This window comes from Homo sapiens, chromosome 12, assembly GCF_000001405.40.
Source record: "Homo sapiens chromosome 12, GRCh38.p14 Primary Assembly".
In the NCBI taxonomy this organism is placed as follows: domain Eukaryota; kingdom Metazoa; phylum Chordata; class Mammalia; order Primates; family Hominidae; genus Homo; species Homo sapiens.
In genome coordinates, this window is record NC_000012.12 from 105169902 (window position 1) to 105190180 (window position 20279).

The 20279-nt window shown below is 38.9% G+C and overlaps 1 protein-coding gene across 13 annotated transcripts in view; it reads right to left on the reverse strand.

Annotated features, from left to right (window-relative positions):
• The window catches only part of APPL2 (adaptor protein, phosphotyrosine interacting with PH domain and leucine zipper 2), a 62875-nt gene continuing 45994 nt past the window's right edge, over nucleotides 3399-20279 (reverse strand). For 8 of the 13 annotated variants that reach the window (NM_018171.5, NM_001251904.2, XM_017019551.3 and 5 more), the window contains 7 exons: nucleotides 20090-20254; nucleotides 19871-19923; nucleotides 18372-18546; nucleotides 7325-7361; nucleotides 6975-7115; nucleotides 6134-6181; nucleotides 3399-4547 (listed from right to left, as the gene is read on the reverse strand). In NM_018171.5, the coding sequence (NP_060641.2) occupies nucleotides 4413-4547; nucleotides 6134-6181; nucleotides 6975-7115; nucleotides 7325-7361; nucleotides 18372-18546; nucleotides 19871-19923; nucleotides 20090-20254 (754 nt within the window). In that variant the 3' untranslated portion in view covers nucleotides 3399-4412. The remainder of the gene's footprint in view (nucleotides 4548-6133; nucleotides 6182-6974; nucleotides 7116-7324; nucleotides 7362-18371; nucleotides 18547-19870; nucleotides 19924-20089; nucleotides 20255-20279) is intronic. The other 5 variants (XM_017019554.2, XM_006719472.2, XM_047429065.1 and 2 more) reach the window with 1 other exon arrangement.

A 20279-nucleotide genomic window follows, 5' to 3' on the forward strand; every position in this document is an offset into this window, starting at 1 on the left:
AATCATATGTGGGGTTGCTAAGATCTGTGGTAAGAATGAATCTTCTCTCCGCAGCATTGGTGACAGTATTTGTTACAGTTATGTTTCATCATTAGTTATTGTTAATCTCTTACTGTGCCTAACTTATAAACTTTATCATAGGCATGTATATATAGGAAAAAACCGTATATATACGGTTAGATACTATCTGCAGTTTCAGGCATGCACTGGGCGTTTTGGTGTATCCCTCTCAGATAAGCAGGGACTACAGTAATGACAACAGAGCCTTCAAAATATTACACTGGAGACGAGGTACAATCCTGTTAAATACTACACTGCAGAAATCATTCTTGGTAAAGTTAAGTCTGGTTGCTGTTCCTTTTTTCTTCTGAGGCAGTAAATTTGTAAAATTGTGGGAAAGATGAGAAAATATTGGATACTTCATGTTATTATTTTATGCTGAGTCTGCTAAATGTAAAAGGTAGGCTTTAATTGATTTTAATAATTGTAACAGGATTTTCTTTCCAGCTTCACATTGCAGATGTTTCAGAAGACGGTATTCGTTTTTTAAGGGAAGTTTTAATACCACATTTTTTTTTTAACAAAGGCTTTCAGATGTTAGGAATACTTTAATAGGCTGTCAAAGATGTGAAGTTTAAAAAGGGAATCCAGAATAAGTGGAAATCTGTAGAGACTAAGCAAAGGCAGTGAACTCAAGAGATGGTGATGGCAAAGTTAGAGTTCAGTTTATAACACAGGTCAGCATATATATAATGTATAAGAAAAGTTGGGCAAGTAAGTATTTTCTTTTCAGTAGTTTGGCTCCTCTTTACCACTCAGTTCACCTGATACCTCCATTTCCCATTAGTGGAGATATACTCAGGAATGTACATCAAATTTATTCAGTCGATGCAGATCTGATACCATAATTCTTGGATCATCTCTAAGGACTATAAATACATTCTGTAGGTAAGAGTCAAGCATTCTTTAATAATGCCCTCATTTGATGGGGGAAGGAGTTAACTTTTATACCTAGAAGCACTTGTCTTTATCAGATTAGTATTAAAGTATTTACTCTTTTCAGAATCTGTACAAAAGGTAGCAAAGTATTAAGGATATTATGCTTTAGGTTGATACTGCTATTGAATAAATCGTCAAAGCTTAATGTATTGAGAAATATTTGGAGATTGCTTAGTATCTGGTTCTCTCTTGAGGTCATCTGTATATAGCACAGAGTGGTTAGAAGCATAGACTCTGGAGCCAGAACAATTTGAATCCCGATTTCCTGCTTAGGAACAGATTCCTTAATATCTCTGTGCTTCATTTCCTTGTGCAAAAGGTGGGATGATAATGACAGTATGTAGCTCATAGGTTGTTTGAGGATTTAATTTGCGTAAAGCACTTTATATATTAGGAAACAGTAACTAAATATTAGCTGCTCTTGTATATAACTACTGGAAACATTAGCTATTACTGTATTATGTGTACTCTCATAGGTAGGAATAAACTTGGCACATAAGCATTAAGTGTTAACTATTCTTTTAGGTGGAACGATTGAAACTAAAGTCTGTATTTGACTTTAAGTGGGTCTCTAAAAAACTATTCCTTGTTAAGTGGCTCAGGTAGATGCAGACAAGGTAAGGAAGGCCCTGTTCTTCCCTAAAGGTAGTCTGATGGGTATGTGAGGCTAAACCAGCCTGGGAAGTGGGAATTGGTAAGAATAGTTGGCTTCTAAAAAGGTCCCATTTCCTCTCTTCCCACCCTTCCCACCTTTCATTTACATGGCACTTGTTATCTTTCAGAGCACTTTAATGTGTATTAATACACAGTTCAGTAAGTGGAGAAAAGGGGCAAATCACCCACAGTTCTAAGTTTTAAAATTATTTAAAAATAGTGCATGCAAGGTATACAATATGTATTATACTATTTAAAGAATGAAAATAAAGCACTTGGAAAGAAGCTACCGTTATCAGTTAAGAACACTTTAGAAGCTCCTGCAGTTTCTGCCCAAGAAAACCACATGGGGGTTTGGTGTTAATCATTCTCTTGCTGTTCCCTTGTTTTACAACTGATGGTATTTTCCTAAATATTGATAATATGGTTATGTTTCAGTTTTCAAACTAAATAGAAATGGGATCTTATTATATGTTTTTGTAACTTTTTCATTATTTTAAAAATTCATCCACGTTGATGCATATAGCTGTAGTTTAGCATTTCATTACATGAATACAGCTATCTTCTGTCGACGACATCTGGGTGTTTTTCACTTTTGGGATATTGTAAACAATGATGCTGTAATCATTATTGAACGTGTCCCTGGGTCCATGTGTTTAGAGTTTCTCTAGGCTGTGTACCTGCAGGTAAAACTGCTAGGTAGTACGGCAGGTGCCCTTTCAATGTACTGGACAGAATGCCAAACTGTTGTTTCATCCCAGCAGCTGAGGAGATTCCCCTTTGCTCCATTTCTACAAACAGCTGAATTTTTGCAGTCTGGTGAATATAATGTTTCTGTGGTTTTAATTTGCATTTTCCTGATTACTATAAGGAGTCTGTTTCTGTTTATGAACACTTTGTCTTTTTTAATGTATGAAATGCCTTCATGACTTTTTTTTTCAATTTATCTTTCTACCTGTAGGAGTATTTTATATATTCTGGATGCTAATTTTTTGTTGGTCTTGTGTGCTTGCTAGTATCTTTGGTTTAGTTGTGTGTTTTCATTCTCTGTGGTGGTTTTTGATGAAGTTAGTTTTAATGGACTGAATTTCAGTCTTTTTATGTTTCCCTAATGATGTGCATGCTTTGTGTCTTATTTAAGCCATGCAGTCTTTTAAAATGGTGGATTAATAAAATAACTTTTGTAATACAAAATTAGGTTAACATCATAGGATCCATTTGAAATGTATAAAGAAATGTATAGTGTTTCACTTTTCAAACTAATAATTGTTTAGGACTTCAGATTCTACCCCTCTCCCAAAAAAGTCTAAGCAAGAAAAAAAAAGTTCAGGGGACTGTGGTTCTTGCAGTCTGTCAGAGAACCAATTGATCTAAAGCAGTTATGTCATACAAATTTGTAAGGCATTAGTGAACAATGAATTAATTTTACAGTGCATAATCTCATACTGGCTTAGACTGGCTCACTATTTCTTTTATGGTGTATACATTTCAAATGGATCCTATATTAACCTAATTTTGGATTACAAAAGTTGTTTTATCCACCATTTTAAAAGCAACACCTTTAAAACTTTTAGCAATGGGATCACATATTCTACTCATGTTGACTGGAAGTATTTTTTGATACTATATCCCCTCTTCTGTGATTTCATTATGCCCTAGTTTTTGGGAAATTGAATGTTAAAGCTATAGAGCTGACTTTAGTTTTCTTCCAGGGATGTTCTAGAAAATAACCACATCTAACGAAAGAAACAGAATATTTTTTATTGCTAGGTTAATTTATTACAAAGATAATAATAGTCTGTTGAACTTAGTTACAGTTAAACACACTGTACCGATTCAAAATCATTATACTAGTTTGATAGGGAGGAGGGATGGGGGAGTGGGCTGGGGTTCCAGGAATTGGAAGTATCAGGGTGGAAATAGGAACTTTATACCAAGCCCCATGACCAGCTGTGCTTCAAGTGAGTTTTAAAATTAATTGGTCCCTTCCCTGAAGAGGGTCTGGCTCAGAAGAAACAGGAACTGGTAGAGCTGCACCCTGTCCACAGTGATCCACTACTAAAAATACTCATACCTAGGAGGACCTTAAACTTCTGAATGCTGGTTCAGTAAGGCTCCACTGTAAAATCAAACATCTTTTGTGGTATTCATTTTTTTATTGCTTGATGTCTGGAACAGTTACCGAAACTAGACCTGTATCGCGCATCTCTACTAGTGCTTGGGCCTCAAAGCAGTGCTCATCACCTAACTGCACAAAGAAATGCTATTAGGTCCAATTATGAGATAAGCTGAATTATAAATACACAATTTTCAGAACGACAGGCACTTAAAGCTCATTAAGTAAAATACAAAAATAGATTATATTAATAAGAAATATTTAGTGTTCATCAAATTGTAAATCTAGGCTTTTGCCATTTTTTAAAAAGGATACTGGAAACTGAAAAGAGATGACATTCATATGAACAATGCATTTTTCAAACTTTTGTTCTGAGCGCTGAACAATCTAAGAAATTTTAGCGCAATCTAAGAAAAAAGACTTACCACAAAGCACCTAAAATAACATTGTAGATGGGTGGGAACGCTGTCAACCATTTCTTAGTTTCCCTCCCAAGTCTCAGTATCAAGGCATCAAGATTACATTCCACAAACGATTGTCAGCCTTCGGAAATCAGGTCAGTGTGCCTGTATGTCAGAGACGTTAAAACCCTTAGGAGGTAGCTCTCCTTCCTGTTTGCTCTTCCCCCACAGGCGCAAGTGAGTTATGCTTCGGATTCTGCGCCTCTATGTTCGTTTGGATTTCCATCATCGTCATCTGGTTGATCGTTTAACAGTACATATTTTCCGTCATTGGTTAGTGGTATGGACAGCATTAATTGAGCCAGTGCTTCTGGATCCTGAAGTTAGGAGAGTTTAAAAGGGAAAAAAGAAAAGGCTTAAGATGCATTTAAACCCCTTTGGCCTGGCTTTCAATATGTTCTGTAATCTAGTCTTGTTTCTCCTGACTCTTGTGTATATGTGCCTTCCGCTGAGTCTCCTTGCTTCTCAAACTCAGGCATGTCACTTCTAGAATCTAGACTGTTTTCCTCTGAGCCAAAATATTGTTTACGTAGTCAATTCGTATCATCTTCCCAAAGATTCCACAGAGGAACTTCCTTCACAGAACTTTTGTCTTCTCTATCTTTAAACTCCTTCTTTTCTCACGTTTAATCTATACCAGAAGTTGGCAAACTATGGTCATTTGGCTAACCATTTGATTTTTATTGGAAAACAGCTGCGGCCATTTATTTACATACTGTCCATGCTGCTGCTGCTTTTTTTTGGTGGGGGGGGGGGTGGTGCGGCGGTTGGAGACAGAGTCTCGCTCTATCGCCCAGGCTGGAGAGCAGTGGTATGATCTCAGCTCACTGCAACCTTCGCCTCCCCGGTTCAAACGATTCTTGTGCCTCAGTCTCCCGAGTAGCTGGGACTACAGGTGTGCACCACCACACCCGGCTAATTTTTGTATTTTTAGTAGAGATGGGGTTTCACCATGTTGGCCAGGCTGGTCTTGAACTCCTGACCTCAGGTGATCCTCCTGCCTCTGCCTCCCAAAGTGCTGGGATTACAGGCATAAGCCACCATGCCTGGCCTGCTTTTGTCTTATGATAGCAGAGTTGAATCTGTTGCAAGGGAGATAGCCAAAAACATAAAGACCCTTTATAGAAAAAGTTTGCCAACTTTTGACCAATACCATTAAATACTAGCTTACAGTGCTTGCCACTATTTCATGTATGTGGCCTTAGTCCTTGGTCTTTCTGACCTCTCCAAGACTGAACTGCACTAATATGGTAGCCACTGGCTACATGTTACTATGTAAATTTGAGTTAAATTTAAAAATCCAGTTCCTCAGTCACACTTGCCATATTCAATCTGCATATTAAATTGTGCAGATATAAATCATTTCCATTATTGCAGAAAGTTCTGTACATTGCTGAACTAGAAGCCCCCTGGGGGCAGGGACTATATCTGTCTTGTTCAATTACACAAACTAGGCTCTCAAAAATTTGCTGAATGAACAAAAGATTAAAAGCTGCTGAAAGACAGGGAGGTCTCAGAATCCTCATTTCTTAAAAGCTCCCAGGTGACGTCTGTCAATGCTGTGGGGCATGTGATCATACTCTGAGGAGCAAGGCCTTAGAGCAGCACACGGTGGGTACTTATCTATCATCTTAATCTGAAAGAGGAAATCTAGCCAACTAGTATGCAAGCAAGAAAACAGATAAGCAGGAGCTCCAGCAGTGATAAGAAGTCCTCATGTGTTAACAGTGAACATGGAACTAGCTGATCAAAAACCTCTGGTGGTTAGAATACTTTTAAAAGGAAATCCCAAACTTGGCCACACTTTCCAGTGAACATCACTTTTCTTTTTGAAAAGACTCTTGGTATGTGTACACAGATGTGTTTTGAGTAGCTACTAAACCAGCGCTAGAATGCATCTTACCTTCTGAACCTCAATAATTTCTTTTCCCAAATTAATAGCATAACATATCTGCAAAAGACAAGAAAAGTAGTGATTGGCAAAAGTAGAGAAGGATAAAATTTTAGAACAAATGTGATTTGGGAGTACAGTGAGGTCACTGTTCTCACTGTTCCCACTTGGGAACACAGGACCTGGCTGCAGGAGACTCATCACATAGGGCCCGGGGCATTTGCGTCCAACTGTCCTGACCTCTGTTGCCAATTTATGCCACACAAAAAATATTCCAGGTAAGTGAAACTCAGGTAATTCCAGTGTTAAAAGTTCTTAATAGGAATTTTTCTTCTCTCTCTTAAATGTATTTAGCCACGATATGTCCATATACACAGTGGCAAACAGATAATTTACTGAAAGGATTGGTTAATTGTGATAAATTCTAAGTAGCAGATAGAGTCAAAAGTTTTTCATACTAAACCAACAGCTTGTGTGTAACTTTTCTAATATCTTCCTTGGTTTTCTCTCTGAGACTAAATTATTCTCTATTGTAGCTTTTGCCTTAATTTTTTTTAAAGAACAAATTTGAGGGGAACTGCTTTCAACATTTCCTTATATCCCGACTAAATAATATGTCTTGCCATGAAATTTCTTCCTCATTCACCCTATTCTGGTTGATAGGTATTTTCCACAGAGAAATTTAAATCGAGTTTTCTTTCAGTGAGGCCTTCTTAGGAGGTATTATCTGAACTCCTGGATGGAGACATGCAGAATAATCAACTAAATATCCAAGGAAGTAATGCCAGAAAACTCTTTTAAAATGGACTTGTTTGGACTGGGATATTATGGGATCTTCACATGAAAAAGAGACCTTTTCGCCTTCTGAGTTGCTTTCAAAAATGTATGTACTCAGAGATTCTTCTCCAGTGGATTCAGGAACACGGATGACAAAACCAACCAGTCTCTTGTTTTCTTGATGAGCAGCAAATTGTGTGACACTGGTAAGTTCAAACTGGGGGGTGGAAAAAAAGGCAACAGATCATACAACTACTAGAATTAAAAACTGACAAGGCTACTCTCTGGAAAAGTCATGAGAAAAAGTATCCTATTAGTCCTATTAGTGGCAGATCTTTATTAATAAAGTGCCTAGGCTGTGTTTAAGGTAGATACAAAGGTGAATTAAGGAGTAATCACTAACATGAACCTGTATGCGGTACTTACATTGGCCCTTGATACTTGAGTCTGTGGATCTATCAACCTGAAATTTTAAAAGATACATTATGTCACAAATGTTGGATAAATTTAATATTCCTAGAAGAGTTTGTAGAAGTCCAGAATAAATACAAATTCCCCGAAATAGAGATAAAGCCTGTTAGAGGGTGAGGCGAGATAGCTGTGTGTGACCACGTGTCCTGCTTTCTGCCTTTAAGGAACCTGTGTAGCTAAAGCTCAGGGTACCTATAATGGAAGATTATATAGCAAGTAGAAGATTTAACTTCACAGGATTCTGCAACTTACCCAAACAGACAGCATTATAATCCTCAACAGATCTGCTATATAATATGGATGGATTATATTCTGTACAGCCTCCCTCTCAACAAACATCCATTGGCAACTTTAATGTCCCTGAAGTGCAAGATCAACTTAGTCTAAATTTAACATTATTGAAAAAGATGAGGTAGCGGTGACAAAATAGTGAAGGGATTTTGACAAAACTCTTATCAATTTGGGTAAAAGAGGAATAATGTTTAAGAAAGTATTCCAAAATATATTTCCTTGTTTTAATTATTTACTATTTATTTATTCTGAGAAGAGTCTTGCTGTCACACAGGCTGGAGTGCAGCAGCCCAGTCTTGGCTCACTGCAACCTCCACCTCCCGGGTTCAAGCGATTCTCCTGCCTCAGCCTCCTGAGTAGCTGGGATTACAGGTGTCAGCCAAAATGCCTGGCTAATTTTTGTATTTTTAGTAGAAGTGGGGTTTCACCATGTTGACCAGGCTGGTGTCGAACTCCTGACCTCAGGGGATCTGCCTGCTTCAGTCTCCCAAAGTGCTGGGATTACAGGCATGAACCACCGCGCCAGGCCTTCAGAATATATTTCTTCAACAGTATTTTAAGCATCATCTAATAATCAGGTTGACATATCCTAGAAAATAAACTATATGAGAGAATTTATTGCTATCTTAGATAAGTGGTTATAAATTTCTACTGTATTGTACTCGTGTTGGAATAATTAACATGCTATTATGTAAATTATTACTATACATTTTATAGGTGAAAGCAAAAATATAGTTTGTGGAAAAAATGGTTATGATTCCATTTATATGTTAAATGTCCAGATCTATAGAGATGGCAATTTTAGTGGTTAGTGGCTTCCTAGGGCTGGGTGGGTTGCCAGGGGCTAATGGGTATTCTTTCTGAGGTGATGAAAATGTTGTAAAATTGATTGTGATGATGGTTGTACAACTCTGAATATACTAGAAACCACTGAATTGTACATTTAAATTGTATGTGAATTATATCTCAGTAAAACTGTTACACCCCCATGCCCCCAACAAAAGGCTACAGTTGGAAATACGTGCAGTTACACTTATTAAACCGTAAGACTTATAATCAGAGAACTCGAGATTGAGTTCTACCCTGGCTACTCACCTGATCTTGTGCAAGTCACCCGGACTTCTTACAACTGGTTCATCTGTAAAACTGTGGTAAGAACCCCCACTTCCAAGAGGTGGTTATGACAGTTAATGAGAAGTGTGTATGGGAATTTAAGTAGACAAAGCTTAAGAAAAGTTACTTTTACGTCCCTATTAATGGGCATGAATTTAATTTTTTGAATATAGATCATAAACAGTTTTCCTCAAGTTGGAATAACTTTCATAGGTATTTTGTAAAATTCCCTTATAAGTGAAAACTTAACACATGCATATTTTGTGGGTCACTTTCAGAAGTTTGCTGTTTAAATCAGGTAACCTAGATTTCTCTTTTTTTATTATTATACTTTAAGTTCTGAGATACATGTGCAGAACGTGCAGGTTTGTTACATAGGTATACATGTTGCTGTGGTGGTTTGCTGCGCCCATCAACCCGTTATCTACATTAGGTATTTCTCCTAATGCTATCCCTCCCCTTGACACCCACCCACCAACAGGCCCCAGTGTGTGATGTTCCCCTTCCTGTGCCTATATGTTCTCATTGTTCAGCTCCCACTTATGAGTGAGAACATGCGGTGTTTGGTTTTCTGTTCCTGTGTTAGTTTGCTGAGAATGATGGTTTCCAGCTTCATCCATGTCCCTGCAAAGGACATGAAGTCATTCTTTTTTATGGCTGCATAGTATTCCTTGGTGTATATGTGCCACATTTTCTTTATCCAGTCTATCATTGATGGGCATTTGGGTTGGTTCCAAGTCTTAGCTATTGTGAATAGTGGTGCAATACACATAGTGTGCATGTGTTTTTATAGAAAATGATTATAGTCCTTTGGGTATGTACCCAGTAATGGGATTGCTGGGTCAAATGGTTATTTCTGGTTCTAGATCCTTGAGGAATCGCCACACTGTCTTCCACAATAGTTGAACTAATTTACATTCCCAGCAGTATAAAAGCGTTCCTATTTCTCCACATCCTCTCCAGCATCTGTTGTTTCCTGACTTTTTAATGATCGCCATTCTAACTGGTGTGAGATGGTATCTCATTGTGGTTTTGATTTGCATTTCTCTAACGACCAGTGATGATGAGCTTTTTTTCACGTTTGTCAGCCGCATGTCTTCTTTTGAAAAATGTCTGTTCATATCCTTCACCCACTTTTTGACGGGGTTGTTTTATTCTTGTAAATGTGTTTAAGTTCTTTGTAGATTCTGGATATTAGCCCTCTGTCAGATGGATAGATTGAAAAAATTTTCTCCCATTCTGTAGGTTGCCTGTTCACTCTGATGATAGTTTCTTTTGCTGTGCAGAAGCTCTTTAGTTTAATTAGACCCCATTTGTCAATTTTGGCTTTTGTTGCCATTGCTTCTGGTGTTTTCATCATGAACTCTTTGCCCATGCCTCTGTCCTGAATGGTATTGCCTAGGTTTTCTTCTAGGGTTTTTATGGTTTTAGGTCTTACATTTAAATCTTTAATCCATCTTGACTTAATTTTTGTATAAGGTGTTAAGAGGAAGGGGTCCAGTTTCAGTTTTCTGCATATGGCTAGCCAGTTTTCCCAACATCATTTATTAAATAGGGAGTCCTTTCCTCATTTCTTGTTTTTGTCAGGTTTGTCAAAGATCAGATGGTTGTAGATGTTTGGTGTTATTTCTGAGGCCTCTGTTCTGTTCCATTGGTCTATATATCTGTTTTGGTACCAGTACCATGCTGTTTTGGTTACTGTAGCCTTGTAGTATAGTTTGAAGTCAGGTAGCATGATACCTCCAGCTTTGTTCCTTTTGCTTAGGATTATCTGGGCTATGCGGGCTCTTTTTTGGTTCCATATGAAATTTAAAGTAGTTTTTTCTAACTCTGTTAAGAAAGTCAGTGGTAGCTTGATGGGAATAGCACTATTACTTTGGGCAGTATGGCCATTTTCACGATATTGATTCTTCCTATCCATGAGCATGGCATGTTTTTCCATTTGTTTGTGTCCTCTCTTATTTCCTTGAGCAGTGGTTTGTAGTTCTCCTTGAAGAGGTCCTTCACATCCCTTGTAAGTTGTATTCCTAGGTATTTTATTCTCTTAGTAGCAATTGTGAATGGGAGTTCACTCATGATTTGGCTGTTTGTGTATTATTGGTGTATAGGAATGCTTGTGATTTTTGCACATTAATTTTGTATCCTGAGACTTTGCTGACGTTGCTTATCAGCTTAAGGAGTTTTTGGGCTGAGACGATGGAGTTTTCTAAACATACAATCATGTCATCTTTAAACAGAGATAATCTGACTTCCTCTCTTCCTATTTGAATACCCTCATTGCTTTCTCTTGCCTGACTGCCCTGGCCAGAACTTCCAATATTATGTTGAATAGGAGTGGTGAGAGAGGGCATCCTTGTCTTGTGCTAATTTTCAAAGGGAATGCTTCCAGTTTTTGCCCATTCAGTATGATACTGGCTGTGAGTTTGTCATAAATAGCTCATTATTTTGAGATATGTTCCATCAATACCTAGTTTATTGAGTGTTTTTAGCATGAAGGGGTGTTGAATTTTATCGAAGGCCTTTTCTGCATCTATTGAGATAATCATGTGGTTTTTGTCATTGGTTCTGTTTACGTGATGGATTACATTTACTGATTTGCGTATGTCGAACCAGCCTTGCATCCCAGGGATGAAGCCAACTTGATCATGGTGGATAAGCTTTTTAATGTGCTGCTGGATTCAGTTTGCTGGTATTTTATTGAGGATTTTTGCATTGATGTTCATCAGGGGTATTGCCCTGAAATTGTGTTTTTTTATTGTGTCTCTGCCAGGTTTTGGTATCAGGATGATGCTGGCTTCATAAAATGAGTTAGGGAGGAGTCCCTCTTTTTCTATTGTTTGGAATAGTTTTAGAAGGAATGGTACCAGCTCCTCTTTGTAACTCTGGTAGAATGTGGCTGTGAATCCATCTGGTCCTGGGCTTTTTTTTGGTTGGTAGGCTATTAATTATTGCCTCAATTTCAGAACTTGTTATCGGTCTATTCAGGGATTCAACTTCTTCCTGGTTTAATCTTGGGAGGGTGTATGTGTCCAGGAATTTATCCATTTCTTCTAGATTTTCTAGTTTATTTGCATACAGGTGTTTATAGTATTCTCTGTTGGTAGTTTGTATTTCTCTGGGATCAGTGGTGATAATCCCCTTTATCATTTTTTATTGTGTCTGTTTGATTCTTCTCTCTTTTCTTCTTTATTAGTCTGGCTAGCAGTCTATCAATTTTGTTAATCTTTTCAAAAAACCAGCTCCTGGATTCATTGATTTTTGAAGGGTTTTTCGTGTCTCTATCTCCTTCAGTTCTGCTCTCATCTTAGTTATTTCTTGTCTTCTGCTAGCTTTTGAATTTGTTTACTCTTGCTTCTCCAGTTTTTTTGAGATGGAGTTTTGCTCTTGTTGCCCAGGCTGGAGTGCAATGGCATGATCTCGGCTCACTGCAACCTCCACCTCCCTGGGTTCAAGTGATTCTCCTGCTCCAGCCTCTCCAGTAGCTGGGATTACATAGGTGCCTGCCACCACACCTAGCAAATTTTTTGTATTTTTAGTAGAGACAGGGTTTCATCATGTTGGCCAGGCTGGTCTCAAACTCCTGACCTCAGGTGATCCACCTGCCTTGGCCTCCCAAAGTGGTGGGATTACAGGCATGAGCCATGGTGCCCAACCTTCTAGTTCTTTTAATTGTGATGTTAGGATGTCAATTTTAGATCTTTCCCACTTTTTCCTGTGTGCATTTAGTGCTATAAAAACATTGCTTTAGCTGTGTTCCAGAGATTGTGGTATGTTGTGTCCTTGTTCTCATTGATTTCAAGTAATTTATTTATTTTTGCCTTAATTTCATTATTTATTTACCCAGCAGTCATTCAGGAACAGGTTGTTCAGTTTCCATGTAGTTGTGCAGTTTTGAATGACTTTCTTAATCCAGAGTTCTAATTTGATTGCACTGTGGTCTGAGAGACAGTTTGTTGTGATTTCTGTTCTTTTGCATTTGTTGAGGAGTATTTTACTTCCGATTATGTGGTCAATTTTAGAATAAGTGTGACGTGGTGCTGAGAAGAATGTATATTTTGTTGATTTGGGATGGAGCATTCTGTAGATGTGTGTTAGTTCCACTTGGTCCAGAGCTGAGTTTAAGTCCTGAATATCCTTGTTAATTTTCTGTCTTGTTGATCTAATATTGACAGTGGGGTGCTAAAGTCTCCCAATATTATTGTGTGGGAGTCTAAGTCTCTTTGTAGATCTCTAAGAACTTGTTTTACGAATCTGGGTGCTTCTGTATTGGGTATATATATATTTAGGATAGTTAGCTTTTCTTGTTGCATTGATCCCTTTACCACTATGTAATGCCCTTCTTTGTCTTTTTTGATTTCAAGTCCGTTTTATCAGAGACTAGGATTGCAACCCCTGCTTTTTTTTTTTTTTTTTTTTTTGCTTTCCATTTGCTTGGTAAATCTTCCTCCATCCCTTTATTTTGAGCCTATGTGTGTCTCTGCACATGAGATGGGTCTCCTGAATACAGCAAACTGATGGGTCTTGACTCTTTATCCAATGTGCCAGTCTGTGTCTTTTAATTGGGGCATTTAGCCTGTTTACATTTAAGGTTAATATTGTTATGTGTGAATGTGATCCTGTCATTATGATGGTAGCTGGTTATTTTGCCTGTTAGTTGATGCAGTTTCTTCACAGTGCTGATGGTTTTTACATTTTGGTATGTTTTTGCAGTGGCTGGTACTGGTTTTTCCTTTCCATATTTAGTGCTTCCTTCAGGAGCTCTTGTAAAGCAGGTGTGGTGGTGACAACATCCTTCAGCATTTGCTTGTCTGTAAAGGATTTTATTTCTCCTTTGCTTATGAAGCTTAGTTTGGCTGGATATGAAATTCTGGGTTGAAAATTCTTTTCCTTAAGAATGTTAAATGTGTGCCCCCACTCTTTTCTGGGTTGTAGCGTTTCTGCAGAGAGATCCGCCGTTAGTCTGATGGGTTTCCCTTTGTGGGTAATGTGACCTTTCTCTCTGGCTGCCCTTAACATTTTTTCCTTCATTTCAACCTTGGTGAATCTGATGATTATGTGTCTTGGGGTTGCTCTTCTCGAGGAGTATCTTTGTGGTGTTCTCTGTATTTCCTGAATTTGAATGTTGGCTTGTCTTGCTAGGTTGTGGAAGTTCTCCTGGATAATATCCTGAAGAGTGTTTTCTAACTTGGTTCCATTCTCCCTGTCACTTTCAGGTACACCAATCAAATATAGGTTTGGTCTTTTCACATAGTCCCATATTTCTTAGAGGCTTTATTCACTCATTTTCATTCTTTTTTCTCTAATCTTGTCTTCACACTTTATTTCATTAAGTTAATCTTCAATCTCTGGTATCCTTTCTTCCACTTGATCGATTTGACTATTGATACTTGTGTATGCTTCACGAAGTTCTCGTGCTGTGTTTTTCATCTCCATCAGGTTATTTATGTTCTTCTCTAAACTGGTTATTCCAGTTAGCAGTTCCTATAACCTTTTATCCAGATTCTTAGCTTCCTCGCATTGGGTTAGAACATGCTCCTTTAGCTTGGAGGAGTTTGTTATTACTCACCTTCTGAAGCCTCTTTCTGTAAATTCTTCAAACTCATTCTCCGTCCAATTTTGTTCCCTTGCTGGCAATGAGTTGTGATCCTTTGGAGGAGGAGAGGCATTCTGGTTTTTGGAATTTTCAGCCTTTCTGTGCTGCTTTTTCCTCATCTTTGTGGATTTATCTACCTTTGGTCTTTGATGCTGGTGACCTTTGGGTGGGGTTTTTGTGTAGTCATCCTTTTTGTTGATGTTGATGCTATAGCTTTCTGTTTGTTAGTTTTCCTTCAGGCCCCTCTTCTGCAGGTCTGCTGCAGTTTGCTGAAGGTACACTCCGGACTCTCTTTGCCTGGGTATCACCAGTGGAGGCTGCAGAATAGCAAAGACTGCTGCCTGCTCCTTCCTCTGGAAGCTTCATCCCAGAAGGGCACCCACCAGATGCCAGCTGGAACTCTCCTGTATGAGGTGTCTGTCGATTCCTGCTGGGAGGTGTCTCCCCGTCAGGAACCACCAGAGTCAGGGACTCACTTGAGGAGGCAGTCTGTCCCTTAGCAGAGCTCAAGCGTTGTGCTGGGAGACCTGCTGCTCTCTTGAGAGCTGGCAGGCAGGAACATTTAAGTCTGCTGAAACTGCGCCCACAGCCACCCCTTCCCCCAGGTGCTCTGTCCCAGGGAGATGGGAGTTTGATCTGTAAGCCCCTGACTGGGGGCTGCTACCTTTCTTTCAGAGATGCCCTGCCCAGAGAGGAGGAATCTAGAGAGGCAGTCTGGCTACAGCAGTTTTATGGCGCTGCGGCAGGCTCAGCCCAGTATGATCTTCCTGATGGCTTTCTTTACACTCTAAGGGGAAAACCACCTACTCAAGCCTCAGTAATGGCGGATGCCCCTCCCCCCCACCAAGCTCGAGCATCCCTGGTCAACTTCAGACTGCTGTGCTGCCAGTGAGAATTTCAAGCCAGTGGATCTCAGTGTGTTGGGCTCCGTGGTGATGGGATCCACTGAGCAAGACCACTTGGCTCCCTGGCTTCAGCCCCCTTTCCAGGGGAGTGAACAGTTGGGACTCGCTGAGGTTCAGACGCCACTGGGGTGCGAAAAAAATTCTCCTGCAGCTAGCTCAGTGTCTGCCCAAATGGCCGCCCAGTTTTGTCCTTGAAACTTAGGGCCCTGGTGGTGTAGGCACTCGATGGAATCTCCTGGTCTGCGGGCTGCAAAGACAGTGGCAAAAGCCTAGTATCTGGGCTGGATAGGTCTGTCCCTCACTCACGGCTTCCCTTGGCTAGGGGAGGGAGTTCCCCGACCCCTTGTGCTTCCTGGGTAATGCAATGCCGCACGCTACTTCTGCTTGCCCTCCATAGGCTGTACCCACTGTCTAACCAGTCCCAGTGAGATAAGCTGGGTACCGCAGTTGGAAATGCAGAAATCACCTGCCTTCTGTGTTGGTCTCACTGGGAGCTGCAGACTGGAGCTGTTCCTATTCAGGCACCTTGTCTGGGAATCAATTTTTCTTTTTAAATCTTCTAATTTTCTGTGTGACCTCTAAATGGTCTCAGAACCTATTCCACTGCAGGGGTATGTTTACTGTGGTGACGTATGCATAACGTCAGATTTATCATTAGTGATGTTAAGTGTCTTCATAACTTTGTGCAGCCATTACCACTATCTAGTCCCAGGACATTTTTATCATCCCAGAGGAAACTCCATCCCCATTAAGCAGTTACTCATTCCTCCTCCCACCCTCTGGCAATCTCTAGTCTGTCTTCTGTCTCTATGGATTTGCCTACTCTGGATATTTCATATAAACAGAACCCTACAGTATGTTGCCTTTTGTACCTGGCTTCTTTCACTTAGCACAATGATTTCATCATTCATCCATGTTGTAGCACTTATCAGTCCTTTGTTCCTTTTTAAGGCCAAATAGTATTCCATCATATATATATACAGGTTGAGTATCCTGTATCTGAAATTGTTTTGGATTTCAGCTTTTTTTTCAGATTTTAGAATACTTGCATTATATTTACCAGGATGAGCATCCCAAAATCCAAAATGCTCCAATGAGCATCTCTTTTGAGCATCAAGTTGGCACTCAAAAAGTTTCAGATTTTGGAGCATTTGAGATTTCCAGATTTGGAATGCTCAACTCTACCACATTTTGTTGATCCATTCATTTGATGTTGGGCATTTGTATTATTTCCACCATTTGGATATCACGAAAAGGACTGCTATGAACATTTGCGTATAAGTTTTTGTTTGAACACCTGTATTTAATTCTTTTGGGTAACTACCCAGGAGCCCGCCAAACTATTTTTTCACAGCAGCTGAACCATTTTATATTCCCACCAGCAATGGGTTCCAGTTTCTTCACATCCTTGCTAAACGCTTATTTTCCATTAAATATATATATCATATATATATCATATATATCATATATATGATATCGATATCATATATATCATATATATGATATATCATATATATATCATATATCATATCATATATCATATCATATATATATCATATATATCATATATATATAAACATCTGTGAGACAGTGTGCATGCGTGCGCACGCCATCTTAATATGGAGTGACATATCTCATTGTGGATTTGTTTTGCATTTCCCTAGTAACACATAGCATCTTTTCATGTCCTCATTGGCCATTTGTATATGATCTTTGGAAAAATGTCTATTTCAAGTCCTTGGTCCATTTTTTAATTGGGTTGTCTTTCTGTTGAGTTTTATAAGAGTTCTTTGTATATTTTGTGTACTACATCCATATTAGATAGAATTTGTGAATACTTTTTTCCCATTCTGTAGTTTTTCTTTTCACTTTGATGTGCTGTGGTTTTTCACAGTACTTTTACATATATTTTCCTTTGATCTTTTTGGTGGAAATTATTCCAGGACCAATAGGATTATAAGAACCATGAGCCCATTTCTGTAAAAGGTCCAGGACATAGTGAAAGAACAGGTTTTATTAATAAGAACTTAATTCTCAGATAAGGTTCATAATAAATGAAAAGGATGGGCTTAATGAATGGAAGAAGCTATATCCTAATTTTTGCTATAGTCCTAGTTACCTTTTTTGAAGCTAACGTTCATTGAGCACTTTTCATGTGCCAGTGAGTTGTAAATGTCTTACATATATTAGCACATTTATTCCTCATGACATTTATTCCTCATGACAACAGTGGAGGGTGTGAATAGTTACTTTCATTTTACAGCTGAAAAAACTGAGGTACAGAGGCTCAAAAATTTGCTTAAGGTCACATAACTAAGAAATGCCGAAGCCAGGAATAAACTGAGACATTCTGGCTCTAAAGCAGTGCTGTCCCTTAGAAATGTAATGGAAGCCTTATATGTCATCGAAGTTTTTCCAGCGGCCACATTAAGTGAAAAGTAACAGATAAAATTAATTTTACTTAATCCAGTATATCTAAAATATTACCAGACATGTGATTAACCTAAAAAATTAGTGAGATGTTTTACATCCTAAATCTTAGAAATTTGGTATGTATTTAACACTGAAAACACATCTCAGTTCAGGCTAGTTTTGCTGCAGATGCTACCTGTGGCTACAGTATCATACACCCATGTTCATAACCAGGATTTTGGTCATATCTGAAACCCAGATCGTATTACCTGAAACACTAAATCATGTAGTTAATATGGCCTGCTCTCTCTGTGATGGCCAAGTTATTTAGGCAGATTTTTAAGTTTTTTTCCATTATTTTTTATAAATAGTACTCTCAGAAATGAAAAAAAAAAAGCAAAACCAAAAAACTTCCATTTTCAAGCTCTGAGCTATAATATAGAGAATAAGTCTAGTGTGATGGCATCTTTGTGAACAACAGTATTCACTCACCACTGGATTTTTGAAGATACCAGTTCTTGTCTCTAAGGGAGCACTTTCTAGGCTATCTATCTTATGTAAAAAGTAGTGGGGGCAAAAGCAAGAGTAGTCTCTTCATTCCAGTACTAACATTTCAGATGGGTGCATTAGCCTTAAAAGGGGAATTAGCTGAAGCCATAAGAAAGTCTGAAAATAAAACTGAACGTACCTCAAAGATTGACTGGTGACCATCAGATGGGATTCTGTCATGCGGAAGATGTTATGAATAGCCCGAGCAGCCAATACTTGTCTCATCGCTTCATAAATCACTTCAGTAGTGCTGTCTGTTTTAACTGCCATTGATCCCAAAAACCGAACTATAAACATCTGCTGCAAAAGAGAATCTGGAAGACAGCATTTTCCACTCAGGATCTCATTTACTTCCTGCTGCTGTTGATCTGCATACCAGGGTCAGATGTGCTAGTTTTGCCTGCTTTCTGTGGAGGACTTTCTACCAAAATTTCTCAATACCACTTTTATAAGCCCAATATTGCCAAAGCTCTGCGTCTTCCATTTGTCTACATCTTGTCAGTTTGTTTGGAACTACTTCATTAGACTAGAAAGGCTTTTCTTCATCTATAAAATGAAATGATGGTGGTACCAGATGAACATCCTTCTAATGCTGAAACTCTAGGTGACTACATTGTACCTTTTCTCTGAAAAGAGTGAGTTCACTAGACAATAGAAAATTCATTACTTTGGCCCACTGATAAAGTCCTCTTAGAAAAGAAATTTTATTTGCAGGATATAAGATCTCATGTTGGGTCTCATGCAATTCATACTTCATGTGTATTACGGAAAGGCAGTGATGATGTTTCATAGCCTAAAGGAAGTCAGTCCTGGCTGCTGACAGTGGCGCATAACTTGACAAAACTGACTCCCAGCAACCATAACTAGAAGACCAAAGAAGGTTTTTTCTTTTTTTTCTTTTTTGAGACAGGGTCTCACTCTGTAGCCCAGGCTGGAGTGCAATGGCATGATTTCAGCTCACTGCAACCTCCGCCTCCCAGGTTCAAGTGATTCTCATGTCTCAGCCTCCTGAGTAGCTAGGATTACAGGCACCTGTCACTACACCTGGCTAATTTTTGTATATATATATATATTTTTGTAGAGACAGGGTTCTCACTGTGTTGCCCATGCTGGTCTTGAACTCCTAAGCTCACGTGATTCACCTGCCTCGGCCTCCAAAAGTGCTGGGATTACAGGCGTGAGCCAGCGTGCCGGCCATCAGATACGTTCTTAAGTACATTATAAGAATGTAAAAAACCAAAAATTTGAATTTGAAAGACTTAAATATCATTTGTGTCATCTTCAAATTCAAGAACAAGTTATTTGTGCTTTTGGTTTTCTAAAATGACACAGCGTATTTCCAGTTCACCAAGACTGCATTTGAATGTGATAACAGATTCAGATTTCACAACATTTCTATGCTATGCTACAAAAACGCTATGGCTAATGGTGAAATAGCTGTAGGTGGTCTTTCAGCTACCCCTCAGTTTTTATCCAAGACTTGCCTCCACTGCAGATATCTTACTAAACTTTCAGAACAACAAATCTTAATTCATACTCCTAATCATAGCTCTCTAAAACATGATTTCACATCTTATTTCAATGGCCGTTGTCATTTTGTGCAGAGGAAAGAATAAGGACACCAAACTAGTCACTTACCTTCTGCTTCTGGAAATGATTCATCCTCAGTTTCACCAAAAGGGTTGGTACGCCTAGGGGAATAGCCAGAGTTGAACAAACACGACAGCTGCAGCTAGAAGGGCACTTAACACTTGAACTGGAAATCAGAATGGCAACAGTCTTTGGTGGTGGAGGGGGACACAAGATACCTCAAATTTACTTTCAGTTCTCCCAGAGATAACCTCTCTCAGCCCATACCTGCTCCCTCTGTTCTGATCAAGGAATTCTGTAGCAGGAAGCACAATATCGAATTGAATCGGCGTTCCAGGCGCGATCAGCTCCTCTGCTTCAGGTAGACTGGCTGTTGCTTTGGGAACAATCTTGTCATTTTCATTTTCCATCTCTGAATTTTTCAGGTTCTGGCTGAAGGGGAAAAAAATCAATTCCC